The sequence below is a fragment of the Homo sapiens genome, chromosome 1 (genome assembly GCF_000001405.40).
Source record: "Homo sapiens chromosome 1, GRCh38.p14 Primary Assembly".
NCBI classification, from domain to species: domain Eukaryota; kingdom Metazoa; phylum Chordata; class Mammalia; order Primates; family Hominidae; genus Homo; species Homo sapiens.
In genome coordinates, this window is record NC_000001.11 from 77,209,333 (window position 1) to 77,219,715 (window position 10,383).

Consider the following 10,383-nt stretch of genomic DNA (forward strand, 5'->3'; position numbering starts at 1 on the left):
TGAATCCAGAAAAATTAAAGATGGTAATTCACACTAAGGTTGGGCAAAAGGCAGAAGAAAAAAAAAGGGCCAATAAGCAGGCCTTACTAAAAATCAAAACAATGCAAATTAAAACAAAATGTAATGTGTTGACCAGCAGTCAAAAAGTTAAGATAAAAATTAAGAATACATAGCTGACTTGAATTTAGAAAAAGACCCACAGTCTTTCTGGAGGCAATCATGCTCCATGACTTCACATTCTTACACTTAGGAATTTATCCTAAAGAGAAAATCAGTCAGGTCACAGAGTTATGTGTATAAGAATGTTCAACACAGCCCTGTTTACAATAACAAAAAATTTAGATTCTAAATGCCCATAAACTGGAGGTTACAGTACATTCACAAAACAGAAGAAAATACAGCTTTTGGAAAAGATTATATGTCTCCATACCTACTGGCAGGGAAAGATCCCTAAGATAATACTAAAGGGTTGCAAAATAGCAGGTATAATATGATCCCAATTATATAAAATCATATATCTATATATCTTTATGCTTATATATGAAGAGGGAAAGGGCTTGAACAATGCTCACCAAAATATTAACTCTGGGATGTGGGACTTGAAGCCATTTTCCCTGTCTTCTTTAATTGAGGTGAAATTCACAAAACAAAATTAGTCTGCCTTCTTTAAACTTTTCTGTATAACTTGAACTTCTACAGTGGTCATTTATTATTTTTATAAGCAGAAAAAACAACTGAAAAAATTTTAAAAAGTGTAAGTAGAAAGTATCTATCAACTAATACTATAAATAACAGATGCAATTAGTAGTTTCCAGCATTAAAATATTTCTACCTCTTATAAAATGTTTCCTTTAACAATAGCATTCCTAATTTATTCTTACATTTATTTTCAGATCACCACTTGACAGATATTCTGAGGACAAAGAATATTACTAGATTATTATAGTTGATGTGGTCAATTTAAAATATAGCCAAATCAAAATAAAGAATTTCTGATATAAAATGTAAAAAAATAAATTGTATTTTCAAAAATTTGATTCACACAAATTTCTCAGATACATATCTAATGTGAACAGCAAGGTATACTTTTACAGTATACTTACCAGAACAGCCCAGTTGTTTGTATGGCCACTTCTAAAGAATTGTTCTGCTTGATCCTAAATAAAGCAAAACAAATAGAAGAAAAAGGCACAATTTCTCAGAATAAAGACTGATAATGGACAGTTGAGACTCGTGTAGTTTTTACAGTTGTAATAACAATCATCTTACGTAAGTTTATGAAGATTCCAGTATTTGTCATTATGGACTACACAAAGAATCAAAAGAGCTTATTGCTTAAGACACTATAAGGACAAAAGTCCTGAACTGGAAATCTGGAGAACTGGGTTTCATTCTTGGCTTAGACACCAATTAAACAGAGTAACCTTGATTAAGATACTTAACCTCCCTGGAGACTCAGTTTCCTCATGTGCAAAATGAAAGCAATGCCAATCCTACATCACAGGGCTCTTTTAGAGAACTATAAGGTATATGTGCAAGAGCTTCTGCTTTAAAATATTATTTAGCATTACTCAAATGAAAGCATACTTACTATATAACTCATATCTTTCTATTTCCCGTACCCTGAGAATTATTAAGAAAGTAGAATGTATGTTCAATTAAGAACGTACAATCTGCTTGTTCAACATTTAACAAGGCTATTATTTAAAACTGCAACCTCGCCCCACCATTTTTCTTACTATAATTTATTTTTTCTACTGTGTTTATCATCTTCTTACATTATATATATAATTAACTTATTTATTATGTGTATTAATCGTCTGTCTTTCCCAAAACAATGTAAGCTTCAGTAAGGCAGGGGCTTTCATCAGTTATATTCAATGATGTATTCCAAGTAAGTTTGGCATATAGTGGGTTTTTAATAAATATTTTTTGAATTAATGAATCCATGGTCCAAATGCCTTTACTCTCGGTGAACAAATCAAGAGTCATCTATGGAAAACTGAAACCGCATGGTTGATAGGTTCAGAATATGGTAAGAAGGTTATTACATAAAGGTTGTACTATAAAGTTGTAACTTTCAAAATCTCCTTTTAGGTTGTACTCTGATAATTCCTCTATTAAAGTGATCACTCTCTACAGTGAGAAGGCAAGGTAAAAATGCATATGCCAGGAATTTAACCAAAGATTAATATTTCACTTTTAGTAATGCCATACAGATAATTTTTATCCTCGTGAATTGCTTGTGAGATATAATCTCCCTACATCCTCAACAAAAACAAAATTATCACTCTTTGAACTTCTCATAGACATCTTTTTAATCCTTTAATCATTTAATAGTCATCTCAGTTGATTCTCTAAAATCTCTGCAATTATGTTAACCAATTCTTTAATATTGGTCACAATATTAAAAATTAAAGATCAGACAAATGTGCTACAACACCCATAAAGATTGCTGAGGTTTCTTTCTTTCTTTTTTTTTTTTTTTCTGGGAGATATAATTGAAAGAGAGAGGGGCCTGATTGCTTTTAAACATTTTTTCTCAAACACAGACAGGTCTTCTTCATATGCTTCTAATTTTCCATTCAGTCCTGTAATTGTGAATGACTTATTTCATGTCTTCATTCTACACATAAGTTAATATGCTTCCTGTTAAAAATTTCATTCAGTATCCATTCTTACTAGGTACTTTATTTGAACTCACCAATATAGCTGATTGAGCACATCCTCTAGCATTCTGCCAGGGACCACTTCACCAATCTATTAAAGTAAGTCTAAATTATATTTGCCATCTCAAGACACTAAAATTTTCTAACACCATCCTGACACCTAATGAACATGATTTTGATTATATATTAAAATAATAGTGGATATAAGCCATACTGACCTCAGATCAGCTCCCAAACATTAATTACTAGACCTGTCAGAATGTCTAGGTTCGAATCTGGGCTCTATTACTTACTAGGTGTATAAACAGGAAAGTTCTTTAACTTTTCTGTGCCTCCAAATCTCCATCTATAAAACAGTAATAATATTATCTGACTCAGAGAATGTAGGAATAGTGACTGGAACATACTACTAGTCTGAAAAACATTAACAGCTTTAATTTTGAGCTAACAAGAAAATTTCAGGGAGAATAAATTTAAACTTCCACTTGTACACACATCTGTACCTGTGTGTACAAGCACACACACAAGTGTAAAGACCCAAGTATTGTATATGCTGCCTACAAGAAACTCACTTCACCTATAAACACGCATAGACAAAGTGAATGAATGAAAAAGGACATTCCACACAAATGGAAAACAAAAGGGAGCAGGAGTAGCTGTACTTAGATCAGATAAAAGACTTTAAATCAAAAACTATAAAAAAGAGACAAAGGTCACTATACAACGATAAAGGAATCAATTCAGCAAGAGAGCATACAATTATAAGTATGTATGCACCCAACACTGGAGCACCCAGATGTATAAATCAAATGTTATTAGATCTAAAGGGAGAGAAGAGATCACAATACAATACTAGGTGGGGACTTCAACACTCCACTCTCCATTGGACGGATCATCTGGACAGAAAATCAACAAGGAAACATTGAATTTATTTTATTTTTGAGATGGAGTCTCATTCTGTCACCCAGGCTGGAGTGCAGTAGCATGATCTTGCCTCACTGCAACCTCCACCTCCTAGATTCAAGCGATTCTCCTGCCTCAGCCTCCCGAGGAGCTGGGACTACAGGTGTGCATCACCACACCCAGCTAATTTTTGTATTTTTGGTAGAGACAGGGTTTCACCATGTTGGCCAGGCTGGTCTCGAACTCCTGACCTCAAGTGATCCACCCGCCTCAGCCTCCCAAAGTGCTGGGATTACAGGCAAACAGAACTAACAGACATTTACAGGACATTTCTTCCAACAATGGCAGATTACACATTCTTCTCGTCAGCACGTGGAACATTCTCCAGGACAGACTGACCATGTGGTAGGCACAAAACAAGCCTCAGTGAATTTGAAAAAATCAAAATTATGTCAAAAATCTCTTCTGACTACAATAGAAAAGAACTAGCAATCAATTAACATGACAAATTTTGGAAAATGTTCAAATATATGGAAATTAAACAACACGCTCCTGAACAACCAATGGGTCAAAGAAGAAATTAATAAGAAAATTAAAAATTTCCTTTAATACATGAAAATAGAAACACAACATAACAAAACCTATGAGATACAGCAAAACAGTACTAAAAGGTAGGTTTATTGCAATAATCGCCTACATCAAAAAGTACAAAGATTTAACCTAATAACACATCTCAAGGTACTAGAGAAGAACAGACCAAACACAAAATAAGAAAAGAAATAATACAGATCAGAGCAGAAATAAACAAAAGAGAATTAAAAAATACAAAAAAAGTCAATGAAGCAAAAAGCTGGCTCTTTAAAAAAATAAACAATATCAACAAACCTTTAGCCAAACTAAGAAAAAGAGAAGACCCAAATAAATATATTCAGAAACAAAAAAGGAGATATTACAAATGGATCACTGAAGTACAAAGAATCACTAGAGACTATTATAAACAACTATACACAAATACACTGGAAAATCTAGAAGAAATGGATAAATTCCTGAACACATACAAGCTACCATGACTGAATCAGGAAGAAAGAGAAACCTGAATGGACTGAGGCTGAGTAATGCGCTTGAAGCAGTAATAAAAGTCCCTCAATGAAGAAAAGCCCAGAACGGGATGGCTTCACTGCTGAATTCTACCAAACTTTTAAAGAACTAACACCAATTCTTCTCAAACTATCCCAAAAAAACTGAAGAAGGAATTCTTCCCAATTTGTTTTATGAGGCCAGCATTACCCTGATAACAAAACCAGAAAACAAGCATACAACAAAAAAAAGGAAACTACAGGCCAATACCCGTGATGAACATAGATGCAAAAATCTTCAACAAAATACTAGCAAACTGAATCCAACAGCACAACAAAAAGATAATACACCACAATAGAGTAGTGTTAATTGCAAATCAATATACATGATGTATCACATCAACAAAATGAAGGACAAAAAACATATGACTGTCTCAGTAGACACAGAAAGAGCATTTGATAAAATTCAACATCCCCTCACGATAAAAACTCTCAACAAATTGGGTATAGAAGGAACACACCTAAACACAAAAAGGCCATCTATGAAAACCCACATCCAACATCATATTGAACAGGGAAAAGTTGAAATCTTTCCCTTTAAGAACTAGAACAAGACAAGGATACCCACTCTCACCACTCTTATCAACATACCACTGGAAGTTCTAGCCAGAGCAATTAATCAAGAGAAAGAAATAAAAGGCATCCCAACTGAAAAGGAGGAAGTCAAACTGTCCTTGTTCACAAACAACATGATCTTATATTTAGAAAAACCTAAACACTCCACAAAAAACTCTTAGAACTGATAAGACTAATTCAGTAAAGTTGCAAGACTCAAAAATCAATAGACAAAAATCAATGGCGTTTCTATATACCAATAATGAACTAGTTGAAGAAAAATCAGGAATGCAATCCCACTTACAATAACTACAGAAAAATTAAACACCTAGGAATAAATTTAACCAAGAAGTGAAAAATCTCTACAATGAAAACTACAAAATATTGATGGAAAATGAAGAGAACACAAAAAGATGAAAATGCTTCCATGCATTGAATTGGAAGAATAAATACTGTATTGTTAAAATGACCACATCACCTAAAGTGATCTACAGTTCAATGCAATCTCTATCAAAATACCAATGATATTCTTCACAGAAATAGAAAAGCAATCCTGAAATATTTGCAAACTATTCATCCAATAAGGGATTAACATCCAAAATATACAAGGAACTCAAACTTATGCTAACAGCAAAAAAAACCAAATAATCTAATTAAAAACGAGCAAAGGATCTGAATAGATATTTCTCAAAAGACATACAAATGGCCCACAAGTGTATGAAAAAATGCTCAATATCACTAATCACCAAGGATATGCAAACCAAAACCACAATGAGATATCATCTTAGTGCCTATTATCAAAAAGACAAAAAAATAACAAATGCTAGTTAAGATGTAGACAAAAGGGAATTGGGAATTCTTATACACTGCTGGTGGGAATGTAAATTAGTATAGCCACTATAGTGAACAGTATGGAAGCTCCTCAAAACACTCAAAATAAAACTACCATATGATCCAGCAATTCCACTACTGGGCATATATTCAAAGGAAAGGAAACCAGTAGGCCAAAGAGATATCTACACTCCATATTTATTGCAGCACTATTCACAATAACCAAGATATAGCATCAACCTGAGTGTCTATCAGTAGATGAATGGATAAAGCAAATGTGTGTGTGTGCGTGCACACACGTGTATATATAAAATGGAGTATTATTCATCCATAAAAAGAATAAAATCCTTTCATAAACAGGTACGTGGATGAACCTGGAGGAAATTACATTAAGTGAAATAAGTCAGGCACAGAAATTTAAATTTTTTAATTTCAATATCACCCAGATACGGACATTTTTAAAAACTTGATCTCATGGAAATAGAGTAGAATAGAGGCTGGGAAGAATAGGAAGGTGACGGGGGGAGTACAGAGAGACATTCGTTAACAGATACAAAATTACAGATAGCAGGAATAAGTTCTAGCCTTCTATAGCACTTTAGAGTAACTATAGTAAACAATAATTTATTATATTTTCTCAACTACCTAGAAATCTTTTCTAACATTTTGAATATTATCAACACAAAGAAATGATAAAGTTTTGAGGTGACAGATATGCTGATTACTCTGATTTGATCATTTCATATTGAATATGTCTGAAAATATCACACTATATACCCCATAAATATGCACAATTATTGTGCCAATTAAAATATACATATTACAAAAAGAGAGGCATCGCTTAAAGAGAATACAACATTGGTCAGAAAGTAAAGTATCTATTTCTGGAGATTTGTGAAATATCATTAACAGATTTTAGAGTGTACATGTAACCCTCAAGAATATCAATTTTCATTAGAATATCATTTGCTGTAGTAATACAAGTTAATTCTTACGTTAACTACCAATAGAGATGGAAAAAACTGATCTCTGAAATTACTATGGCTAGGATAAAATACCCTTAATTTAGCAAGGCAATAACATAGTATTTCACATTAAATGAAACTATAATGGGTTGTCTATTGTTAAGCATTGTTTCTGATAAATTGACATGATAAATATAGAATAATAACCTGAACAAAAAGTGTGTGTGTGGCATGTGTGTGTGGGGGGGTGTGTGTGTGTGTATTTTTCCCCCTCCAAACTCAACAGCTGCCTGGATGTTAAAGAAAGCAATGTGCTACAGTGGTTAAGCATTGATTTGGGAATTCAAAGACCTAAGCTAAAATTTAGGTCCTATCTCGCAACTGGCTGTGAAATTGCGGTAAGTCATTTAGCTCTTTAGACTTGACTATCCTCATGTCTCTAATGTGCCTTCCACCTCCAAAGTTCTTACTTCTTTCAGACCTTAGTGAAAAAATTTAGATGGCAAAACTTTTTTGTGGTTGTCTAGACAATACAGTCATTATAAAGTTATTCATTCTACATACAGTAAATGCAGCACCTATTATGTGCCAGATACCATTAATATATAGTGATACAAAAATCACTAAAAAGCATGCTGCTTTCTCTCAAGAATCCAGAGTTCAATAAAGAGGAGCATGCAAACACATTACACTATAATTATTACATTCATTAATTCATCACACTCATTGGGCAACATGCCAGTCACTGCCCTGAGTGCTCCAAATACAATGCTGGGCAAAAATAGCCATAGTACTGCCTTCAAATAGGTTACTATCTAATTGGATAGATATACATTTAACAGATAAGGAAAGACACACAATATAATAAGAGTACAACAGAGGGACCTGACCTGGTCAGGAAAGTTTTCCTAAAGAAGTGACTGTTGGGTTAAAATCCAAAAGATGAAGAAAAGAGGAAATACAATTCCAGACAGAGGGGAGACAGCTCTAATGTGAGAAAAAGCTTAAAGGTTTTGAGAAACTGAAAGAAAGTTAGCCTAACTAGAAGTTTGAAAGAGAAAGAAAAAATTTGAAGTGTAGTCAGGGCCCAAAAAATATGCAGGGTTTTTGTTTGTGGGTCATGGTGGAGAGTTTAGAGCAACATTAAGGTGATCTTTTGAGCAACATCAAGGTCCCTGGGTGACATGATTGGAACTGCATTTTTAAAAGTTACTCTGGCTTCAATTTGGAGAACAGATTGAAAGGAAAAAACAACGACTCAAGGCAAAACATTTAGGAAACTGTTGCTCCTATCTCTAAGTGAGATATGATGGAATAACAGTACAAACCATACACGGGTTATAGTAAATGAGTGCTGTATCAAGTGTACAAATTACAAGAGTAAAGGCAAAGGTAAGAGATAGGGAAACGTTCTACAGAGGTTATGCCTTTACTGTATCTTAGCACATGAACAGAGGAAACACAATGTATAAAATATTGTAATGTGAAAAAGCACAGCAATTATGTAACTACAAAAAACAGTAATAGTATCCAAGATGAAGCAGTCAAAGTTAGAATAAAGGAGGGAAACAGAACTTCTATTTACTCATATTTATGTTCTCTAAAAATTATGCTATATAAACATCAAATATATAAATTAACAGTAATTCATAAATATATATGAAGTTCATGCTCAATATCTTTTTTTAACTGATAGGGTGTGTATTCAAAAAGTTTGGAGTCCACTGGTCTAAGCTCAAGGTGCCCAGGTGGTGGGGAGAAGAGGTTCCAATATGGAACACTGGAAAAGTAGGCAAGCACCAGGTCATAACGTTTAGACTTTATTCTGTATGCAATTAATAAATATTTAAAAGATTTCATCAGAAGAATAACCTGATCAGGCTTACATTTCGTGTAGACGAATCTAGCACCAAACTCAGGGAGTATGGAGGCCTATGGAAAACAAGATAAAGTAATCGCAAGAGTCTAGACAAGAAGTGATCACAGCCTGAATTAAGTCAGTGGAACTGGAGAGGTGAGGGCAATTTTAAGAACTCAGATCACAAAATTTAGTGATAATTAGAATATGGGATAAAGAGATTAAGACTCTCAGGTTTCTAGCTTAGGAGCAGCACATCTGGTTGAGAAATGGAGGAGAAAAGGGGTGCTTAGTTTTTCAGTGTCTTTTTAAGAGGAGGTAGGATAAGCAGAAGATAAAACTTTGCACACGGATTTTCAAATGTCTCCTGACTATCCCGGATTCTTAGTCAGCTGGATATGCAGGCCTGAAAAAGATACCAGACATCTAGATTGTAGACCGGGACTGAGGAATCATCAGAGTATGGTGAATAGTAAAAGCATTATAGAGCACCAGAACATCCTGTGTCCACGTTTAAAAATGGGAAGCTGGAGGAGCCCAGGATAAAACTAAGCACCCCTTTTCTCTTCCATTTCTTAACCCAGACGTGTTGCCCCTAAGCCAGAAACTTGAGAGTTTTAATAAACACTTATATTTATCCCATGTTCTAATTATCACTAAATTCTATTATCTGGATTCTTAAAATTGCCCTCATCTCTCCAGTTCCGTCTGACTCCTATCAAAACAGAGGGCTGCAGTTGAGTAGTAGGAAAGCAGTTGCTGCACACTGACATTTCACGAGCCTCTTGCTCGTATTTCACCTAAGAACTGCACACATGTAGGAGCAAAGGATCAGGTCCTCCTCTGTCTCCGAGGGTTTGATTATTTCAATTCATCGTTTTAAAACGCTGAAACAGACCAACAGTGTCCTAACCCGTGCCCAGTGATACCCTCCTCAAACCCAGCCTGGGTCAGGGGCTGATTGACTCCAGGAGGCGTCCCTCAGCTACTGTGTATCGGACATCTGCTGGAGGGCTCACAGCCGGCCTCCCGGCTGTGGTCAAATGAGCCTGACTCCTACCTCGATATGACTAGCGGCCACGCTGCCGAAGGACAAGAGCAACACAGTTGCCAAGACAGTCGCAGCCCGGCTGAGGCTGTCGGTGACGGCCATGTTTACCGGCTTCAGACTTCCCGCACCTGAAGGGGCGGAGGCAGTGCCGTAAAGTAGCGCTGCGGGTTTTTGCGACACCATCCGCGCCTCTTCGAGGTGGCCCTCTGGTCCGGCTTTAGAACTCTGCGGTTTTGTGGAGCTCGAGAGTCCGGGACAAGGTAGACGCAGGATATTGACCTTTTTATTTTTAACTGCATTTTCAGTTTGGAGGTTGTAAAATAGGTATAACATTTAAGAAAAAAAATTGAAAGGTGAGTGGAGGGAAAACCCGTAACTCCTTAAACTTTAAAAACTTATTTCTCTGTTCCCTTAT

At 35.2% G+C, this 10,383-nt stretch overlaps 1 protein-coding gene and 1 long non-coding RNA gene across 4 annotated transcripts in view, besides 1 other annotated feature; one reads left to right on the top strand and one right to left on the bottom strand.

Moving 5' to 3' along the window:
* PIGK (phosphatidylinositol glycan anchor biosynthesis class K) overlaps window positions 1-10,098 on the bottom strand; it is a 130,442-nt gene extending 120,344 nt beyond the window's left edge. Inside the window, exons 1-2 of the mRNA NM_005482.3 lie at window positions 9,978-10,098; window positions 1,104-1,157 (exon numbers count right to left, since the gene is read on the bottom strand). Of these exons, the coding sequence (NP_005473.1) occupies window positions 1,104-1,157; window positions 9,978-10,070 (147 nt within the window). The 5' untranslated portion in view covers window positions 10,071-10,098. The remainder of the gene's footprint in view (window positions 1-1,103; window positions 1,158-9,977) is intronic.
* Window positions 9,782-9,891: an enhancer, noted in NCBI's record as "active region_1214". NCBI's record gives its function as "activates an Ori minimal core promoter by ATAC-STARR-seq in GM12878 lymphoblastoid cells {active_cell/tissue: GM12878}" and the evidence as "EXISTENCE:reporter gene assay evidence [ECO:0000049][PMID:35858748]".
* Window positions 10,099-10,187: 89 nt separating the features above from the next.
* The window catches only part of LOC105378808 (uncharacterized), a 32,591-nt gene continuing 32,395 nt past the window's right edge, over window positions 10,188-10,383 (top strand). For 2 of the 3 annotated variants that reach the window (XR_001738109.2, XR_007066176.1), the window contains exon 1: window positions 10,188-10,321. This is a non-coding gene — a long non-coding RNA (uncharacterized LOC105378808). The remainder of the gene's footprint in view (window positions 10,322-10,383) is intronic. The other variant, XR_007066177.1, reaches the window with a different exon arrangement.